This window comes from Homo sapiens, chromosome 4 (genome assembly GCF_000001405.40).
Source record: "Homo sapiens chromosome 4, GRCh38.p14 Primary Assembly".
Lineage (NCBI taxonomy): Eukaryota > Metazoa > Chordata > Mammalia > Primates > Hominidae > Homo > Homo sapiens.
The window spans coordinates 117,336,817-117,360,452 of NC_000004.12; the positions used below are offsets into that span (position 1 = coordinate 117,336,817).

The window sequence follows — 23,636 nt, forward strand, 5'->3', positions numbered from 1 at the left end:
GGCATTGTAAAGCTACTATCTGTCAGAGAAGAATAAATAGATTGACAAGAGATGAACACTCTTCAGAATAGGGAAAAGTTCAGTGTGGTACTCCAAGAACTATCTACTGCATTAATTGTGCAATAAATGTTTAAATGTATTAAGGTATTCTTAATACTGTACTAAAGTATTCTCTCAGGTTGAATTGAAAAGTGATTTTCATTTCTGCTTTTTATCTCTGAATCATTCTCTCTCTTTTTTTAATTTCCAACTTTTATTTTAGGTTCAGGAGTACATGTGCAGAATGTGCAGTGTTGTTACATAGATAAATGTGTGTCATGATGGTTTGCTGCACGGATCATCTCATCACCCAGGTATTAAGCCCAGCATCCATTAGCTATTCTTTCTTATGCTCTCCCTTCTAAAAAGTGTTCTACCCTTCACCTTAAAAAATGCCCCAGTGTGTGTTCTCCACCCCCATCATGTGTGCATGTGTTCTCATAATTCAGCTCCCACTTATAAGAGAGAGCATGCAGCATTTGGTTTTCTTTTCCTGCATTAATTTGCTGATAATAATGGCTTCCATGACCTTGCAAAGGACATGATTTTGTTCCTTTTTATGGCTGCATAGTATGTATATGTACCACATTTCCTTTATCCAGTCTATCATTTGATGGGCATTTAGGTTGATTCCATCTCTTTGCAATTGTGAAGAGTGCTGCAATAAATATACACATGCATGTATCTTTATAATAAAAAGATTTATATTCCTTTGGTTATATATCCAGTAATTGGGATTGCTGGGTCGAATCGTATTTCTGCCTCTAGGTCTTTGAGGAATGGCCACACTGTCTTCTACAATGGTTGAGCTAATTTACACTCCCACCAATAGTGCATAAGTATTCCCTTTTCTCGGCAACCTCACCATCATCTGCTATTATTTTTTTTGACTTTTTAGTAATAGCCATTCTAACTGGTGTTAGATGGTATCTGATTATGGTTTTGATTTGCATTTCACTAATAATCAGTGATGTTGAGCTTTTCTTCATGTATTTGCTGGCCACATGTATGTCCTCTTTTGAGAAGTGTCTGTTCATGTCCTTTGCCCACTTTTTAATGTGGTTGTTTGGTGGTTTTTTTCTTGTAAATTGTTTAAGCTTCATGTAGATGCTGGATATTAGACCTTTATCAGGTGGATAGAGTGCAAAAATTTTCTTCCGCTCTTTACATTGTCTGTTTCCTCTGTTGATAGTTTCTTTTGCTGTGCAGAAACTCTTTTGTTTAATTAAATCCCATTTGTCAATTTTTGCTTTTGTTCCAATTGCTTTTGGCATCTTCGTCATGAAATCTTTGCCTGTGCCTATATCCTGAATAGAATTGCCTTTGTTTTCTTATAGGGTTTTTATAGTTTTGGGTTTTACATTGAAGTCTTTAAACCATATTGAGTTAATTTCTGTATAAGTTGTAAGGAATGGGTCCTGTTTCAATTTTCTGCATATAGCTAGGCAGTTCTTTCTGTACCATTTATTAAACAGGGAATCTTTTCCCCATTGCTTGTTTTTGTCAGATTTGTCAAAGATCAGATGGTTGTCAGTGTGTAGTCTTATTTCTGCGTTCTCTATTCTGTTCCATTGATCTGTGTGTCTGTTCTTGTACCAGTATCATGCTGTTTTGATTACTGTAGCCCTGTAGTATAGTTTGAATTCAGATAGCATGATGCCTTCAGCTTCGTTCTTTTTGCTTAGAATAGCCTTGGCTATTTGGGCTCTTTTTTTGTTTTCATAGGTATTATAAAACAGTTTTTTCTAATTCTATGAGGAATGTCAATGGTAGTTTAACAGGAACAGCACTGAATCTATAAATTACTTCAGGCAGTATGGCCATTTTCACAATATTGATTCTTCCTATTCATGAACGTGAACTTTTTTGTGTTTACTTTTGTCATCCCTGACTCCTCTGAGCAGAGCTTTGTAGTTACCTTGTAGAGATATTTCACATCCTTTGTTAGCTGTATTCCTATGTGTTTTATTCTGTTTGTGATGATTGTGATTGGGAGTTCATTTGTGATTTGACTCTCAACTTGACTCTTGTTGGTGTACAGGAATGCTAACAATGTTTGCACACTGATTTTGAATCCTGATATTTTACTGAAGTTGATTATCAGCTTAAGAAGTTTTGGGGCTGAAATGACGGTGTTTTCTAGATATAAAATCATGTCATCTGCAAACAAAGATAGTTTGACTACCTCTCTTCCTATTTGAATACACTTTATTTCTTTCTCTTGCCTGAATTCCCTGGCTAGAGCTTCCAATACTGTGGTGAATAGGAGTTGTGAGAGAGGGCATCCTCATCTTTTGCCAGTTTTCAGGGAAATGCTGCCAGTATGATATTGGCTGTGGGTTTGTCATATATGACTGTTATTATTTTGATATATGTTCCTTTAATACCTAGTTTATTCAGAGTTTTTAAAATGAAGAGATGTTGAATTTTAATGAAGGCCTTTTCTGCATCTATTGAGATAATCATATGGTTTTTGTCTTTAGTTCTGTTTTTGTGATGAATCACATTGATTGGTTTGCATATATGATGAATCACATTGATTGGTTTGCAAATATTGAACTGACCTTGCATCCTGGGGATAAAGCCTACTTGATTGTGGTGGATATGATTTTTGATGTGTTGCTGGATTCAGTTTGCCAGTATTTTGTCAAGGATTTTTGCATCAATGTTTATCAAGGATATTGTCCTGAAGTTTGTTTTTTTGTTGTATCTCTGGAGGTTTTTGTATCAGAGTGATGCAGGCCTCATAAAATGAGTTAGGGAGGAGTCCCTTCTTTTCAACTTTTTGGAATAGTTATGGTATGAATGATACCAGCTCTTCTTTGTACCTCCTCTAGGACTTATTTTTTTCTTTTGGTTGGTAAGCTATTAGTGCCTCAATTTCAGAACTCATTATTGGTCTATTCAGGGATTCAATTTCTTTCTGGTTCAATCTTGGTAGGGTATATGTGTCCAGCAATTTATCCATTTATTTTAGATTGTATAGTTTATAGAGGTGTTTGTAGTATTCTCTGATGGTTGTTTGTATTTCTGTGGGGTGATATGCCCTTTCTTTCTGACTGTGTTTATTTGAGTCTTCTCTCTTTTCTTCTTTATTAGTCTAACTAGCAGTCTAACTATTTTATTTTATTTTTTTCAAAAATCAGCTCCTTTACCGTTTGAATTTTTGAAGGCCTTTTTCCTATCTCTATCCTCTTCAGTTCAGCTCTGATCTTAGGTATTTCTTGTCTTGTGCTAGCTTTTTTTTTTTTTTTTTTCTTTTTTTTTCTAGTTCTTTTAGTTGTGATGTTAGGCTTTCAACTTGAAATTGTTCTGGCATTTTGATGTGGGCATTCAGTGCTATAAATTTTCCTCTTAGCACTGCTTCAGCTGTGTTATGGGGATTCTAGTACATTGTATCTTTGTTCTCATTAGTTTCAAAGAACTTCTTGATTTCTGCCTTAATTTCATTGTTTACCCAAAAGTCATTCAGAAGCAGGTTGTGCAATTTCCCTGTAGTGGAATGGTTTTGGGTGAGTTCTAATTTGATTGCATTCTGATCTGAGAGACTGTTTATGATTTCACTTCTTTCGCATGTTTCTGAGGAGTGTTTTACTTCTTATTATGTGATCAATTTTACAGTGAGTGCCATGTGGTGATGAGAAAAATGTATATTCTGTTATTTTTGTTTGGAGAGTTGTGTAGATATCCATCAGGTTCTCTTGATCCAGAGCTGAGTTCAGGTCCTGAATATCTTTATTAATTTTCTATCTCAATGATCTGTCTAATATTGTCAGTGGAATGTTAAAGTCTCCCACTATTATTGTGTGGGAGTCTAAGTCTCTTTGTAGATCTCTAAAAACTTGCTTTATAAATATAGGTACTCTTTTATTATGTGCCTATATATTTGGGATAATTAGCTCTCCTTGTTGAATTGAACCCTTTACCATTATGTAATGCCCTTCTTTGTCTTTTTTAATGTTTGCTGGTTTAAAGTCTGTTTTGTCAGAAACTAGGATTCCAACCCATGCTTTTTTTCTGTTTTTCATTTGTTTGCTAGATTGTCCTCCATCCTTTTATTTTGAGCCTGTGAGTGTCTTTGCCTGTGAGATGGGACTTTTGAAAACAGCATACTGATGGGTCTTGCTTCTTTATCCAGCCTGTCATTCTGTGTCTTTTAATTGGGACATTTAGCCCATTTACGTTTAAGATTAGCATTGCTATATGTGGATTTAATCTTGTCATCATGATGCTAGCTAGTTATTTTGCAGACTTGAGTATGCGGTTGTTTCACAGTGTCACTGGTCTGTGTAACTTCAATGTGGCTTTATAGTGGCTAGTAATGGTTTTTCCTTTCCTTGTTGAGTGCTGTCTTCAGGGCTCTTGTAAGGCAGGTCTGGTGGTAATGAATTCCCTCAGCATTTGCTTGTCTGAAAAGGATCTTATTTCTTCTTTGTTTATGAAGCTTAGTTTGGCTTGATATAAAATTCTGGCTTGGAAATTCTTTTCTTTAAGAATTTTGAATATTGGCCCCCAATCACTTCTGGCTTTTAGGGTTTCTGCTGAAACCCCCCCATCCCTCTAGGGTCTCCTTCCAAGGGAGAGATCAGATCTCTGTCCATAGAAAACAGGCAGGGGTGGCTGGAGGCCCCACCTGGGAGGTCAGACCCAGTGAGGAGGGATGGATCTGGGTCCTACTTAAAGAAGCAGTCTGGCCATGAATTGGCAAAGCAGCTGTGCTGTGCTGGGTGGTGGTGGGACTTCCTTGTTGAGACCTTTTAGAGTTTCCAAAGCTCTCAGACTAAAATGGCTGAGTCAACCAAATGGCAGAGATGGTGACCTGACCCTCCACTAGTGGACTCTGTCTCATCTCAGGCTGGCTCCTCCACCCTATTGCTGGTGGCTGGCTGGAATTCCAAGCCAGCAGGTCTTATCTTGTGAGATGCCATGGAATTGGGGCCTGCAGGATGATGCTGTCTGGCTCCCTGGATTCAGCCCCCATCCTGGGGGTATGTACAGACCTCCTGCCTTGCCTGAGTTGCAGACACATTTGTTCGGGATTCTGGGGGCTGGAGTATGTAAAGCTTCTGGGTCTCTCTGTGTGCCTGAGTAGCTGCTCTGCCAAGACCCCAAAAACACTGATGGCGTGGGCTCACAAGGGGATCTCCTGATCCACAGGTTGCAAAGATCTGTGGAAGAAGCTTGGTTTCCTGGGGTCACACAATCACTCACTGCATCTCTTGGCTGAGGATGGGGGTTCCCCGGGCCCTGTGTCGCTCCTGGGTGGGCCATCGTCCCACCCTGCATTTCTTTTTTCTCTTTGGGTCAAGTTGTTTCCCTGATCAATCCTAATGTGAGTACTGGGAGTACTTGCTCCTTTCGTTCCTCTTCATTAGTGCTGTGGACCACAGCTGCTTCTAATCGGCCATCTTGTGGCTACTTCCCCCAATCATTCTCTTGATCTTTTTTCTACCTCTCAATAGCCAGCTCACTTGGTATAGGAAAGAATATGCTGTATGAAAGGATTTTTTTGTCAATATCAAAGAACTCTAATTTGAGAGGAAAAGAAGGAGGGCCAATACAGAAGAAGAAGATGGAAATCATGAGTGATCTATGTATAGCAGCATATTATATTGCTAACTTGCTAAAGTTAATAAAATTAAAAATGATATCTTTTCATTTTCTATGTGTCTTTTAAATTTGTCTTCAAATGTTTTTTCATTTTCTACTGTGTACTCAAATTTTTTCATGATATCTTTCAAGACATACAGCAACTACATTTTTAAAAGGAATAAACTGAATGGCATCACACAATCACTTTTAATTATGTATTTATACAAAGATGAAAATAAGTTGAGATGACAGAAAACAATGGTTTGTTAGGTGAAGATGTAACTTTTCAGATTTTGTAATTTTCATTGAAATGTAGTTATAGAACTTTCAGTAGAACAGCTAAAGTAAAATGAGGTGAAAAATCTCATTAATTAATGACTGGAAACAAAGATACTCCTGAAATATATATATATATATATTATAATATATATTATATATAATATATATAAATATTAATATATATTATATATTATATGATATATGATATATATATAGTTGGCTGTCTATATCACTATTACTATATCTGTTTATAATCTAAAGATAACCTTGTCTTTAACATTGGAGGACATTTAGAATAGACCTCAGGTAAGTGTAGATTGAACTGATTTCTATTTTATAAGGTATCTTTTTTTCTATTACTTTATTATACTTTAAAATAAAGAAAAGTAGGGCCAGGTGCGGTGTCTCACGCCTGTAATCCCAGCACTTTGGGAGGCTGAGACAGGGGGATCATGAGGTCAGAAGAGCGAGACCATCCTGGCTAACACAGTGAAACCCCATCTCTACTAAAAATAAAAAAAAAATTAGCCGGGCGTGGTGGCAAGCGCCTGTAATCCCAGCTACTGGGGAGGCTGAGGCAGGGGAATGGTGTGAACCCAGGAGGCGGAGCTTGCAGTGAGCCAAGATTGCACCACTGCACTCCAGCCTGGGCGACAGAGCGAGACTCTGTCTCAAAATAAATAAATAAATAAAAATAAATAAATAAAAATATGGTATATATAGTAATAAAAATATCAGAATTATGAATACTGTAAATGTACTCGTTAATATGGTATAAAGGGTCTCTTTTAAGTTATTGACTCCAAACTAATTGAGCAATTCAAATTACATATCTTAATTTTATTCAGAATAAATTTATCAAACCTTGTAATTTTTCCAGTATCATGAATTGTACAAATTGGGTTTTAATCAAATAACAAGATTAAAATATATTTTTAATATATAAATTCTTAAAAAAGGCAGTAAGGTATAGTGAAAGCACTCGATTGAAAGTATGATCTCTGTTCAAAACTTGTCTTCATCAATTTCTTGCTCTGTGGCTGTGAAAAAAAATGCTTTAGGTCTTGAAATCTCAGTTTGTCTATCTACAATTTAGGAATAATACCATTGTTTCTCAATTCAAATATATACCCTTTAAATATCTCTTAAATTGGGATGAAATTTACATAAGTAAAAAAATCAACTAGTCAGCCGACAGAGTATTAGGTGTTGTGAGTTTATTGTCCTTCTGTAATAAACTGTATTGATGGTATTTATTTATTTCATTGTTAATTTAGTGCATTTATTTGAATCAGTTGTGGTATAAATTGCCAACTCTCACAGAATAAATCAAAAGTTGGGAAGCTATGTGGGTGATTTAATGGAATATTACTTAAGTCTTGAATATATGTCAAAAATTATCACTTAGTTTACAAATACATAGAAGTTAAATTAAAGAGAAAATAACCCAAAATTAAAAACTAAAAAAAAAAAAATCAACTCGAAAGTACAAACTGCAGATATTCACCAACCTTCCTATACGTGTAGCATACTATGAATGAAGTGTTACTCTTTGTGCGGATGTATAAAATTGCCTTTCATATTAAAGAAACTGTGTATTCCTTCTGGCAATATGAGAAAAACAAAACTGTTTTATCATGCTGAGTAGATATTTCCATTAAAATATAAAAATAAGTGAGATAATATATGAAAGTAATGCAGTTTAAAATATCAAAAGACAATGGTGAGTTCTTCCATTTCTTGTCAAGATGGAGTAATAGGCACTGCACATACACCGCTGCCTAAAAACAAAAACAAAGAAAGACAAAATATTTGGAACAACAGCACTCAAAGCATTGAGTGTTAAGCAATGACAGACAAAGAATGAGAAACAAGGAGATGACCCACTCTCCAGGGCATGGAACTTGGAGGGGAAATCCAGACAGAGCCCAGTGGTCTTTAAACTTAAGAGGATATTTATGCAGCCAAAAAACACATGAAAAAATGCTCATCATCACTGGCCATCAGAGAAATGCAAATCAAAACCGCAATGAGATACAATCTCACACCAGTTAGAATGGCAATCATTAAAAAGTCAGGAAACAACAGGTGCTGGAGAGGATGTGGAGAAATAGGAACACTTTTACACTGTTGGCGGGACTGTAAACTAGTTCAACCATTGTGGAAGTCAGTGTGGCGATTCCTCAGGGATCTAGAACTAGAAATACCATTTGACACAGCCATCCCATTACTGGGTATATACCCAAAGGACTGTAAATCATGCTGCTATAAAGACACATGCACACGTATGTTTATTGAGGCATTATTCACAATAGCAAAGACTTGGAACCAACCCAAATGTCCAACAATGATAGACTGGATTAAGAAAATGTGGCACATATACACCATAGAATACTATGCAGCCATAAAATATGATGAGTTCATGTCCTTTGTAGAGACATGGATGAAATTGGAAATCATCATTCTCAGTAAACTATCGCAAGAACAAAAAACCAAACACTGCATATTCTCACTCATAGGTGGGAATTGAACAATGAGATCACATGGACACAGGAAGGGGAATATCACACTCTGGGGACTGTTGTGGGGTGGGGGGAGGGGGGAGGGATAGCATTGGGAGATATACCTAATGCTAGATGACGAGTTAGTGGGTGCAGCGCACCAGCATGGCACATGTATACATATGTAACTAACCTGCACAATGTGCACATGTACCCTAGAACTTAAAGTATAATAAAAAAAAAAGAAAGAAAAAAATAAAGAGGATAAAGCTAGGAGTCCTAGAAATCCAAGGTCAGCAGACATTGCAGGCCAGCCTACTAGAGAGAAAAGGGCTGTAATTAAGAGGGGCGTCAGTTATAGTACTAAGCATGGTCTTAGTCTTAGACGTCTGAATTGATTTGGGATAGCTCTTCCCTTCATTTGACTTGGGAGAAATAATATAATCTCACTGAGACACCTCAAATATAAAGTGGAAACTATAACTACTAAAGCGCAAAAAATGCTATAAAAATGCCTAGCAAATACTAGGTGCTCATTAAATGCCCATTTTTAGGGAAGATGCTGATGATGAAGAACAGAACTGAACTTGAATGTTTGAAGAAATGAAACTTGAAAATTGTAATAAGACCATGTTTTTACAGAAAAGTATGTTTTCTGACTTGAATTGGCTAGTGTGTGTCTGTGTGTGTGTGTGTGTGTGTATATGTATTTGTAATTATTTGTAATATACTATACTATACGTTCAGGAGATCTAGTTTTAATATGCAGACTATTAGAATGAAGGTCCTACCAAGTAAACTTTAGTACTTGAGCCTTGTGTTTGGAAGGGGTACAGTAATTTTAAATGTTTTTCAAATCTTGCTATTTGGTTTATTTTTAGAAAATTCAACGATACATGAATTAAAGCACTCTGTATAATCTGTAAACTGTTGTATAAATATATGTAGTTATTGACACCATTTATTAATATTTTTCTTTTTTTTGTGATCACAGCTCACAGCAGCCTTGATCTCCTGGGCTCAAATGATCCTCCTGCCTCAGCCTCCCAAGTAGCTGAGATCACAGGTACATGCCGACCCCCTTGGCTTTTTGTTTGTTTGTTTAATTATCTGTAGAGACAGTCTCTCTGTGTTGCTCAGGCTGATCTCAAACACTTGGGCTCAAGTGATTCTCCCATTTTAGCCTCCCAAAGTGCTGGAATTACAGGCATGAGCCATCACACCTAGCCTACTATTTTTCAATGAATTTAATTTCACTAAAAATAAATACATTAAATTTTGGGGTTTTTTTTTGTAAAACTTTATGACCCAATAACTAAGCAGCTCCCTGCTGAGAATGCTTAACACCAACACACAATTGCTTTTATTTCCCATTTAGTGTGCCACTTAAATCTATAGGGTTAGAAGTAACAGTATAGGCATTAAAACTAGAAAATTCTAGGAGAAATAGAGGTGAAACAGTAAACAAAATATTTCATTGACATTGAGCTTTCAGTCATGCTGACAGTTTCTAAAATATTACCAGGATCAGTGCATAGATCTCGCTAATATGACCTAGGAAACAGATTTGATTATTTTGCTTGGAAATGTTAATTCCTTTAACCCTGTAAGTGTTTGCCAATTTATAAATGACTACGTGAATCTTTCTTGTCTTTAGCTATCTTCATAGTCATTCTGGGTAATTATCTAATGTTGATCAGGTTGTGTGACTGATTGATTATTTTAGCCTGTCTGTTAGGTACCCTGAAATTTATGCAATTTCTTGCCCACATTGGTGCCCTGGTAATATAAAACTTTTGGTAGCTACAGTGTGCTTAATTAAGAAGATAGACTATGGAGATTGAATTTTGTTCCTCACAATAGTTATCTAAAGGAGCTGCTCACTAAAAAAATTGTTTTCCTGAAATAAAAAGACTTAACAATTTCATTAAATTGTTGCTTATAGTTTGATTTTATGATGATGTATATTCATAAAATATGATGATATTTGGCCAAGCAGAAAGATAAGTTATACTATAAAGATTGTAACTATCCACATTTTGAAATCAAATGTCATTTGCCTCAGGCTTTAATAATTAGCTCAAAATTTTAAGTTTTGTTGGTATGTGTATTTCAGTAAGGTCTCAAATCATTTCACTGTGATCAAATATGTAATTTTAAGTATATAAATATTTAATTAGAAAAATATATGGATAAGTCACTCTGAAATAAATAACTAACGGATTTAATTACAAATTCAATTTGCCAACAAAGAGTTGTAGAAATCCTACAGGAAGTTTGATTTGCATTTAGTGGCTTCACTGTAAGATTATAACTGGTTTAGCATAGACTGGGTTAAATTATTTTGCAGTGAGGCTTAAATGTAGTCTCTGATAAAATAAAATAAGGAATTATTACTTCTTGTTATTCCATTTTCAAGGCTCCATAAATACACATTTTTTGAATATGTGGTATATTATTCTGAAGTTGAACGTAAAAGTAAATGAATTGCTTCAACCACAACAAAAAACTGTATTCTGTCATTAATTAAAAATGCCCATCTGTGGTAAAATCAAATCAAATCAGTTCTTATGAAATGTACTGAGTTTCAGAACTAGAAAATATCAGTACAAATGTGTAGATGTGCATTTGTATAAACATGCTTATACTTTGAGTGAGAAACTTCTCAAAATTTCTATTGGCCATAATATTTTATGTATAAAATTGAAATATAAAACAGTAACATAACATAATATTCAGTTTATAATACTAGATGAGTACTGTGCTAGTTTCTTAGGGATGGCCTAATAAATTACATAAACTGGATGGCTGAAAATAACAGAAATGTTTTCCCTCAAAATTGTGGAGGCTGGAGTCTCTAAATCAAGACGTTAACAAGGTCAAACTCTCTCTGAAGGCTCTAGAGGAGCCTGCATTGACTCTTCTAACTTCTGATGCTTGTTAACAGTATTTGGCATTCCTTGGCTTGACAAACATCACATCAGTCTCTGCCTCCATCATTACCTTGTGCTATCTCTGTGTGTCTGGACCTCAATGTCCAAATTTCCTTCTTCTTACAAGGTTCTGAGTGAACATTACATGAATTTTCAGAGGTCACTATTCAACTCGGTATCTATGAACACACTGACATCCACATGCTATACTTATATGAAAGGTTAACCTTTCAGGTTTCTGCTGATTTTATTGACTGGTAGCCTTATGTGAGTTTCTAGAGTTTAATCAGATTATTGGCAAAATGTAGTGTAGGCTCAGCAATGTTGAACAGTATATAAATATGATTTAAAAAGACAAGAAAATAGGAACAAGAAGGAGAAGTTACAAGCATTGACACTTAAATAATTGTGTCTGCAACATAATTGCACCTAGCATCTTGGAAAAAAAATAAAGCAAATTAATGGAACTATAATATTTTGGAATTTCTAACCATGAAAACTGATGATAACAATTGAGAAAAATTTTTTCAAGTTTAAAAGTAAGCAAATATGAGGTGCCTCTAAATTACATATATCTAATTTAGATAACATAACACTTAAGGATTCTTTGCCCTAACGTTAGCTTTTTAATTCCCATTTCTTCGAATGGGCCTGGTAAGGCTTTGAAATATACAATGCATTGGGTAGTCAATTCACTGACTAACCTGAGATATTTTGTATCATGAGCTTATTGAAACACGCTTGTTACAATTAGTGTTTTAAAGATAAGAGAATTACTTCTGTCAAATATATGTTGGCAATGATATATGCTGCTGTGAGATCGTTAAATGAAATTTAGTTACAAGTCTTAAAATCACAGCACCGAAATTACTTCATATCTGAGTGATGGGCATATGCCACTGACATATTATTTTCCTTTAGAGTACTACTATGTGACAAATTTAAAATATAGCAGTTAGTATAGGGACATAAAAATAATAGAACTCCGTGAAATTATAAAGTTTTTATATCATTTTCTAAACATAGGAGAAAAATGTTTAAAGTTTGAAAGAAGAAAAATTTTCCTCTAAATATCAAAGTAAAAACGAAAGATCCAAAATTTGTTAATTTTAACATGTCTACAAAGTATGACATTTGACATTTTTATAATTTGTTACTTTATACAGTTTTGATGACTACAGTCAAATTATTCCAAAAGCAAAATTTTAAACATGATTTCAAAATTTTACAGCAAACAGTTTATTTTGATATAGGAAATGGGTGCATTTTAATGTGTAGGGGAATATTTAAATGCCAAGGGCCTGCAGAACTTAAAGCCCCTGTCTAGTAGCTGTTCTCCCACTGAGAAGAACTTGTCAATCAGGAAATCTAAAAGAAAAATAGATGATCAGGCTAAAAGCTGGGAGACTTAGCAAGACAGTAAAGACTTATGGACAGGAACTAAAAAAATAAAGAAAGCTAGAGGTGTGAGCATGGCATTTGGAGATATTTTCTGCTGGGTTCTGCAGATTCAAAAAGAAGCCACTGAGAAGCTGGAAAGCTGAAAATAACTTTTCAGTCTCCTAGGTCTAAGACAGGGGTTTTCAACCTTGGCAATATTAGAATTTTGCACTTGATGATTCTTTGTTGTGAGTGCTGTCCTGTGCGTTGTAGAATGTTTAACAGCATCCCAGGTCTCTAGCTATTAGATACTACTAGCTATACCCTTTCTCTACCAAACTGTGACAACCAAATTGTCTCCATACAATGCCAAATAGTCTCTGAAAAAAAAAATAGTACCTGATAGAGAACTACAGCCTAAGCAATCTGAAACATTATTCTAGGATTTTCAAAAACCAGTTTCCCACTAAATATCCCAGGCTTTAATTGATACCTCAAAAGGTATTTTTATACAACTAAGTGTAAGCGTAAACCTGAAAGCAACTGATCCTGAAAGGGTCTAAACCCCAACTTTAAAATATTTGGATCACTGAAATACTATTAAATGATGTGAGTTTTTTTGTATGTCAAAGGTCCACAGAAGCAAACCTAATGTGACAACATTTTAGGCCAACTATGTTGACAAATTTTTATATTAATTATGTATCGCTTAATCTAACTAAACAAGTACTCAACGAGGGTAGTTACCATGATCAGAAGTCAAGAGAGCATAAAGCCAGAACTTCAAACTGCAGTTATCAGACACAGGCTTTTAAAATATATGTGCAAAATGTTTGAGTAAGTAAATGAAGAGTTATACACTTTCCCAGAAAATCAGAAAGCATAAAAATACATGAATATGAGTTTATAAATTAATGTAAAACTAAAATTAAAGAGGTGGAAGTTCAGGTCAAAAAAACTATCTGACAAAGCTATAGGAAATATAAAATAAGAACATATAGAGTGTGGAGGTAAAGGGTAACAAGAAACAAATTTACCTACCTTCCCCACTGTCAGAAACAACAAGCGAAAAAGAAAATATATTTTACAAATGGAAATAATCTGGACACTATGGCTCATGCCTGTAATCCCAGCACTTTGGGAGGCCAAGGCAGAAGGATCACTTGAGCTCAGGAATTGGAGACCAGCCTGGGCAACATAGTGAGACCTCATCTCTACAACTATGCCTGTAGTCACAACTATTCAGGAGGCTGAGGTGGGAGGATAGCCTGAGCCAGGGAAATCCAGGTTGTACTGAGTTGTGATCATGCTACTGAATTCCAACCTGAGTAACAGAGAAAGGCATTGTCTCAAAAAATATATATATTTTAAAATATATATTTATTATGTATTTATATGTATAACATAAATATATGATATATTTATAATATAAATATAAATATATGATATATTAATATAATAAATTATATATATAATATAATAAATATAATAAATTAATATGATATATTAATAAAATAAATTAAATATAAATATATGATATATTATATAAATATAAGATTATACTTACAATTATATTTATAAATATATAATGTGTATATTATATAAATATAATGTATATATATTTATAAATAAATAAGTGTATCTATACATACATGAAAAGAGCATCAGTGATCTGTTCAACGTTTCCAGATACTATATCTGTAAATGACAAAAAGATTGTTTCCTTTCACATAAGTCCCTGCAGGGGATAGGTCTTAACTAACCTACCAGTCACAATGATGCCATTCACCTCTCTGGGCAAATAAAGCAGTTCTTGTTAATAGGACATAAGGAAAAATCTGTTGGATGCTGTACGGGAAGAGTTCCCTTGGACCTGAAGAAGACATGACAAACTGTCTTCTGCTTTACTTTTATGAATGTTGTGTCAGGAAATGTAAGATGCTATAACCATGAAGGCACCTAGAATGAGAAATAAAGCTGGCAACAGAGAATGGCACAGAAAACAAACTGGAAAGAACCAGAGCACTTGACTCTATTAAGTCACTGAATTAATCCACTGTTACCACAACTTTGGAACTTATTATTCTGTGTGATGATCCTTTGCCTTATTATATGCCACTTTGAGTAGAGTCCTCTGTTATGTGTGGCTGAAAATATCTTAAAATGATTTTCCAAGTTTATAAACTGGAAACTAATGCCCAACTGAATCAAACCAATCTCTAAAAACTTCCAAAGATACCTCTAAATGTCTTTCAACTAGAATTTTTCTCTTTGCTAGCATCTGCGCTACTTCTTAGATAAAAGCAGTAGCTTCCAAAGTTCTTAGGCATAATCCTCATGGTGTTAGTCTGGTATCCTTTTCCAAAACCTTGCTAAATTCAGGTCTAGAATCATGTATGTAAAACATTAATTTTATCAAATCACTCTCCTATGTAAAAATGTCCAGTGATTCTGTGCTAACGAAGTTGTCCTTTGCTTCCTATGTAGGAAATTTCATTATCTGACACATCTCTCTAATGTTATTTCCCATCACCTTCTATCAAAATGCTTTATTTTAAGCCACTGTTAGGTAATTTAATTAGTATCTTTACTTTTTTACAAAAAAAAAATTGCTGTTATGAACATTCCAAGCATTTTTTTCTTCAGTATATGCTTTATTATCTATCTAAAATTTGGTGTTCAAGCCTAGTACCTTTGTTGATACTTAAAGCAAATCTTTCTACATGTTTAGCATGCCACTTTCCACTCAGCATAAACTTCTTCTGTTCATGTCATAGTATTGATTGCAACACCCCATTGATTATATCTCTCTAGGTAAATGCCCTTTCTCTATTGAGAAAGAATTTAAATGTCCTTTCTCTATTGAGAAAGAATTTAAGTTTGAAAGCAGTCACCTCGTTTCTGCTGTTACACGGTCAGTGGTAGCAAATCATTTATTTTCTTATGTTCAAACCTTAGCTTAGTACATGGAAAACAGCTATTGTCTAGCTGATTGTCAAAGCAATGAATAAATGATTTACGCATCAACTTAAACTTTATGGTGAAAGATTATTTGAATCTCGTAACTTTATTGCTAATGAAGTATCAAGTAGATTTTTTTTCTCATTTTGCAAATATTACTGTGGTATACAGAAAGCATGTTTCAAAATGTGTAATTTTCTTGCATTGAAGAATAACAAGTCAATAAAGTGATAAAAGGTATTGAAAAATTGATATTTTTTAAAATACAAAAAAAGCAATTCAGACTTGCAAAGAAGTCCTATGTTTGATGTATTCTAATTGCATATATGATCTTCATGTTATTACTTAACCAATTTGAACCTCAGTTTCTATATGCATACAGGGATAACATTACAGTTATGTACAACATTATGAGAATGAAATAATTTATATTAAACTCTTCTGTGAATGATTAGTAGGTATACAAAGGATAGTTCTAAATTTGCCAAATCCTGCTTCATATATGATCAAAAATATTTGTCAGAGGCAGGGTTTACTATGGCATATATGGCATATCAATTTGTGCTAATCTAGCACATTTACAAAGAAGTAAGAGAATCACAAGTTTTATTGGCTAGAGGTAAACAAAACTTTTTAAAGGCATCTGCACCCATACTGCTGTCTTCCCTACCTTCTCTCTAAATACAAGTAAACTCATAGGTTTTATTATTTCCAAATTATAAAGAGGTTATTTGCTCTTATCTGAAATTATATTGATATTATATCATAAGAATTTGTGTATGTATTCTACTGGGAAATAGTGTAAAAAGTAGTTAACTCACTTCTATGGATAACAAACAAAAAAACATTGTTTAAAGGCTGGATCATCAGTTCATGAATAATATGTAATACACCACTAAAAAAGATGCCTTAAAAACAACATTGCATGACAAGAGTTTTAACAAATGTAGGTGAAAACATGTGAGGGCTTTGTATGTTACGCACTACAGCAGTAATGTCCAATAGACATTGCAATTCTGGAGATACTCTATATCTGTGATATCTTCAGCACTTGAAATAAGGTCAGTGTGACTGAAGAATGACACTTTAATTAATTTAATGCATTTAAATTAATTTAAATGTCACATACTGCCAGAAGCTACTGTATTGGACAAGCAGAGATCTTCTTAATTTGGGAAAGAAAAACAAGTCTCTCAGCTTGAGAGTCATGAGGCACCCATTATGCATGCCCCACTAAGCCCTCAATGGAGAGAACTTGAAAGTCACATAGGCAGGCCACAGGCCCCTAGACAGTCTCAGAGCTGCTAATAACAAGTAGAGAGCCAGGCAAGGTGGTTCATGTCTGTCATCACAGAAAAGTTGCTTAGGCCCAGGAGTTCGAAGCTGCAGAGCTATAATTGCACCAGTGAACTCAAGCCTGGGTGACAGAGCAAGACCTTTTCTCTCTCTCTCTCAATATGTTTAATTAAATATTATATATTTATAAGTATTTATATAAATTTATATATAATTTTAATAATAACATATAATTGGGATTATATATCTAATTAAAAATCTATATATCTGAAAATGAAAAAAAAATTGACAATAAAGGGTGTACTAAAATATATAAAGGATGGAATAATGAAAGAGAATAAACTGCAATACAGGAAAAAGGGAAGCAGACAGAGAATAAAACAAAAGGAATGATGAAGCAGAACTAATTTAAGCCTGTCAAGGATACTTGAGGACCATCACCCAAAGGTCTTACAATGAAAGAAGGAAAACAACCTGTGCATTACAGTGATAACTCTAATAGAGGGTCAAAGAGAAAATCATTTCAATGCTAATGACAAATACTGTAAAACAGTAAGCATAAAGAATAATATTAGAGATAGGAATAATATTAGGGATAGGAATAATATTAGGGAGGGGCCATGTTAAACAAAACTTCCATGTATAGTTGTTCATGTTGTGGCCTGCACAAAAAGATACCTTGATGAGGGCAAATAAGGGGTTAATTTCAGGTGATCCTTCACTTACCAAACAATAAGGCCTGGTGTCATTCTGCATCTGTGAGAAAAAAGGGATAACGCTTCCAATTTTTCTATCTTGAATCACAATCTTTTCTAAGCCTTCCATGCAGGTGTTCTCTTTTTGTATTTGCTCAAATGCATAGTGTATATTTCAGTAGAAACCCCAAAATGAAGTTCCCACAATTCATTCTAGAACTGTGATAAAGGAAGGGTGATAGCTGATTGTATACAAGGAGCAGGGAGATAAAAACACAACAGATATTATAGTTTCTACATTTAAATGATTTGAAACACCTTGAGTATATTCATTTAAATCAAAAATGAATAAATATAGGAGAAAGCTAGAGGTGAAAAAGTTTATAATTTTAGTTTTATATCTATCTGTTTTGTTCTACAGGTATTCTCTGAGTGTGAAACCTGAAATTACAATCATTATGAGACAACGGTGTCTCTACTATAAAAACCATTGTTTTTTCCTTCACGTGCATGTACTTAAAGGTATGATTTTTTTTCATAATAGATGTAAAAAAGAGTAATTGCCATGATTCACAAATAAAAGGTAATTATCTTAGTACATTAAATTTTATAAATGCTAATTTAAATACGATAGTCTGCTATCTTTAATAGGCTATGATATATGTCAATACAATATTAATAAACACCTATAATTCAAAATAAAATGAAAGCACCATTAAAAAGTTAAAGAAAATTAAATGCCACAGGAAAGATTGATATGTATGTCTTATAGATTTCAAAGGAGAAAGTGAATAATTGAGAAGAATCTTCAATAAGGCAGTAATCTCCCATGTAAGTACAGAAAGGTCGTCAGAAGGATTTTTATTGGTTTTAGATGAGTGGATTGTCAATCCTAGCAAAAGAGGGACATAAGTTAAATGAAAGCAAAAAATTGCTGATATATGGTTTGGAGGAGATTTATTAGTCTTATTTGAACAATAAGGCATAGGAGAAGAAATGTGAAAAAGGCAACCAAATCAGTAGAACCCATTTCTAAGCCCCCTGCCTGCCAAACAATCCTTAAAAATCCTAGTCTCCAAATTCCTGGGGAGGCAGGTTTTAGAGACATCTCCCTTCCTCCTTGCTAGATGGCCTTGGGATTATTCAACTTTTTCTCTGCTGTAACACCTGTTTTGTCAGTGTACTGACTTTTTCTGTGGGGCAGGCAAGAAGAACCCACAGGGTTGTAACAGACTATCAGTCCATCATATAAACACAAAACTATTGGAATGGTTTCCATAACTGAGGGATTATTTTTTCACTCCTTCCTTTTCTTGAGGAACTACCACATGTCAAGGATACAAAAATAAGAGCCCATGATGACATTTGGAAGGGATTATAAGTATAAAAGGCATTACTTGCATACTGCATTTCCACATGAACTCTGTCTGATTTTAATACATACACATGAAAATTAAAAATTATTACTATTTGCAAATGATGCTTTAAAAATGTTCTCTACTATGCATTGTGTTCATCAAAGCCTGAAAATATATACCTTTGAACTTGCCTTAGACCTTCTTAAAAGTTTCAAAATGTTTCTAAATTATATTTTCTAAGTTTGCAAATGTAACTCATGGAGTGATATTGGATTTCAATTCACTTCCATAACCCAAGCACTGCCTTGATATCTTTAGACCTTTCCAGGAGAATGGAATTCTATTAGCAAATGCATAACAATATAGGACAGCAGTAATTAGCTGCCCTTTCTATTTCTCTCTTTACATAAGATGGAAAATTTTAATTTATAATTCAATAATTAGTTTTACATTCTTTTGGCACATCCTTGAAAAGTTGAGTTTATTGAATAAAAAAGCATTATGTACTGGTGATTTCCATGATTAAAAGCTTTCGTGATTACATTATAATGTCTTTCTTATGTAAGACCATATAGAAAAAGAAAAGAAAACGTTGCTACAAGTCTCTTTTTTTTTGTAATATTACAGCAACATAAAATAGCAGCAAATTTTGAGGCTTTTTAGAAAAGAAATTACCTATTATTAAATTTCAAATTAAAACCTATCCCACTGAGTGATGTGACTGCTATAAATTTTGCTTAAAAAGAGATTGTCTTATTAAATTTAACATCAATTCCTGTTGCAGTTGACTTAAATGTTTAAAATTTTAGGCTGGATGCAGTGGTTCACGCCTGTAATCCCAGCACTTTGTAAGGCCAAGGTGGGTGGATCACAGGAGGTCAGGAGTTCGAGACCAACCTGACCAACATGGTGAAACCCCGTCTCTACTAAAAATACAAAAATTAGCTGGGCATGGTGGCATGCACCTGTATTCCCAGCTACTCCGGAGCCTGAGGCAGGAGAATCACTGGAACCTGGGAGGCAGAGGTTGCAGTGAGCCAATATCGTGCCACTGCACTCCAGCCTGGGCGACAGAGTGAGACTCTGTCTCAAATAAATAAAAAATTAAATTAAAAAAAAACAGTAAGTTTTAACTAAATATTCAAAGACTTGAGGTAAATTATAAATTACCTCTATATCTTCTTAGTATTTGTAAGTTGACGGTCACAAATACATTTTTACAAGTGTTAACTGAAACATATATTTTCCAGACATAATGGATTTGGGGAGGTTATTGGTCTGCATTAATTTTAGATGTCTGACAATCTTAGTTTACGTTAACAATATTTATGCTTCAACTAACACTGAAAATCTGTCTGTATTTTACCCATTTAAAGATTGTTCAAATTGAAAATTTTACATTTATAATAATATTTCAGAACTCTATATATTCTAAAGAATTATTTTGTATTACACATGGAGTAGTAGTATTTAATGTTTACATTAAGGATATATATACATAGAAAGAGTTAAATCATTTTATTTAATAATTTGTCAAAATCTTAGTGAACTGTCAAACCTGTGAGAAGAAAACTGGCTAGTCTATTGTCAATTTGAATAACGAGTGTTTACGTTTTATTGTTCATATTATTGATCATATTTGAGGATGACATTGTTAATGATCATTGTCTTGTGTGCATCAATCATAGAAAAATACTGCTAATGATCTCTGCACCCTGCAGCACCCCAGCGGGTGATTCACCAGCAAATGCCTGTAGGCTACTGGGAACCTCATGTCTGTTTTCTGCTGTCAGCTCACACATCTGTCTGCCACTGCCATAGGAGAAAAGAATGGCTTTTCCCTTCCTGCCTTCCAAAGCTTGTACGAGTATCTATCCTTGACAGCATTTCAACTGGAAATAGCTGGCAGGGTATTCTGGCAAATATTATTTGCACATTTTTCCAGGGTAAGTAAGGGAAAATGCAGAAAGGGCAGGAATGCCGCTGAAATGACAAGAAAGAATCTGCATACCGCTTGTGACAGGATGGAAGAAAAGACAGAAAGAGGCGTTTGGCTTTTATCCCTAATGATCATATTTAGGGAAGAAGGGAAATATTTAAATGCTAAGTTATGAAATTGCACAAACATATGATCTGAGGGGTTGCTGAAAACATGGAATCTATGCACAGTGAACTGAAGCGTCTTTCCCTAGGTTGAACCTACAACAGCGTGATTGAAAATGTGCTGTGAGACAGCTGGCCTGCAGCAAAGCCTCCTGCTCCCTAGATCATTCCCCTGCTGCATGTCTACACGTATCAGTTTATTTAGCATTATTTTCTTCTTGAAGACAAGTTGTGACTAGCATTAAAACAACATGGATTTTTAAAAAAGGAAGGAATGAGTGAAGGGAGAGAAAGAAAAAGAGACAGAAAGGGAGAGGGATAAAAATAACAATTTTTGAATGCCAGATTATACATCAAAATAATTATGTAAAAAAGCAGAAGTATCCATAGATATAATTTAAAAGAAAATAAATATCACGTGGTGCTTTACTGCATAGGATCTGAACTTAGTTGTTCCCGTGACCTTGACTCCAGAAGGATTCAAAAAGGCATGTCAGTGAAAGATTCCTTGAATATAAGCAGCTGTGGCCTCATCCTAAACGTGTGGCACCACTACTGAGGGCAGCAACATCTTTGCCTAGATCTTGTTTAGCATGGTGTTGAATTGTGTAGAAGTAAATTAGTTTCCCTTGGTTCTTTCTCATTTTCAAAACTAAGTTGTTCAATTTTCCTCTTGATTCTGAATCATGTTCTTTGTTTCCCGGTAAATTCATTTTCTAATTATGTTAAATAGAATAAGTTTCTTGCTGATGTAAAAATTGAGGCCCTATAGTGCATTTCAGACAAGAGATTCTGAGGGACACTGTTAATTTGAAATGAGCTACAGAACATTTGGAGTTGATGGAAGTGAAAATTCAGCGGTATAAAGAGTAAGAAATATGGTAAATTATGGTATGCAATTGTTGGGGTCCAGAAACAATATCCCAAAATACAGCGTTTTTACATATTGAACTAAAGAAGCAGCCTCAAGATCTCTCTGATCTTCCCCCACCTTCCTGTCATTCAATCTTCTGGTCCTCCCAAGGCACAGGATAAAGCCATTCTCTGAAGTTATTTTATCTGTCGAGATCCTTGACTTCCAAAGAGGAACAAAATTGCTTTCCATCCCCTGCCTAAAGTCTTATTATCTATCATAGAAGACTGAGGAATGCAACCACATCTGGATGCACTATTTCACAAGATAGTATCTGCCTCTCAGTTTCATTCCAATTTTAAAGAGAATCATTTACAAGTTAATGTTTATGTCTACTGCAACCATTCATTTCCACTGAAAGTTTTCTATTCCTATGCACCCCACTTTCCTCTAACCAATAAAGAGGGTATTTCGCACCAACCATCTGGTTCTTCTCTTCAGTTTTTATAATTTGTATGACTCCCATGCACACTTGTGTATGTACTAAATTTGTTATACTTTTCTCTTATTAACCTGTCTTTTGTTACATGGATGTTGGCCATAACACTTTATGGTGGGGATAAAAGGGATTACCTCATTTCTACTTTACACATTGGTGATACAGCTTATTACATTATTATCCATTAATCTCTGGAAGGAAAACCTCTTTGAAAGAAAGGTCTTTAGGAAATTGAAAACCTTTAATACTTGTTGAATTTGCAAAAAGACAGTGAAGGACTCCGCTTATATTGCTACACAAGGAAAAATAAATATTCAATGGAGAAGTAGCTTGAAACAGGAGAGGAGTAGAGTCACCAATTTTGAGAAGTAAAGTCTATTTCCACACTCCATACCTGCGGGATCTTCTGAAGAAATACTCACCTCAATAGCGTGCAGTAAGGCAGACTATATCTTAAGGAGTTTCCAAAAGAAGATTTTTTTCGCTCAAATTACAGGTAGTTCTCTATAAATAGGTTATAAAATCAGTTTGGTTAGTTCCAATAAGAATTTTTAGTGAAATAAATAGTAAAATAAAACAGCAGTAAAAATATGAATAGTAAAAGTAGGAAATGTATTATGTATATAATGTAGAGACTTGTAGAAGTATTTTGTGTTTGTCTGTATTGGGTCATGATGAAAAATGTGTTTCTAATGGTGGAACTGGTCAAAAATTTAAAAATTACTAGCTTAACAAAGCAGAAAGGAATAGAGGTAAGATGGAGTCATGAGACTTTTAACATTGCTGTCAAAACATCTAAGAGCATTGTTTATTTCTTATTCAATTATTTTACTATATTTTTCTTTATCCACAGATATCACACAGATAAGAAGCTGGACTATCTCATATTATGTTGCCCTAGAACAGGAGAAATTCAAACTAAGGCAACATTATTCAAGGGAAGGCAACCCATAAACCTCTGACATAGAATTTGCTCTTCAAGAGAGATCATGTACTCCAAGCAGCCAAAAAATATTATCTATGAAAGAGAGTTAGAAAATAAATAGAAATTCTTAGCAAACAGAAAACTCATGTACATACAATTGCATGATACATGTGTTAATTTTAAACCTTCATTGGAAAATTTGAAACATTCTATATAAAGTTT

The 23,636-nt window shown here is 34.4% G+C and overlaps 1 long non-coding RNA gene across 1 annotated transcript in view; it reads right to left on the bottom strand.

Annotated features, from left to right (window-relative positions):
• The window catches only part of LINC02262 (long intergenic non-protein coding RNA 2262), a 46,043-nt gene that overhangs the window by 22,220 nt on the left and 187 nt on the right, over positions 1-23,636 (bottom strand). The window contains exons 2-3 of the long non-coding RNA NR_147151.1: positions 22,912-22,993; positions 14,377-14,422 (exon numbers count right to left, since the gene is read on the bottom strand). This is a non-coding gene — a long non-coding RNA (long intergenic non-protein coding RNA 2262). The remainder of the gene's footprint in view (positions 1-14,376; positions 14,423-22,911; positions 22,994-23,636) is intronic.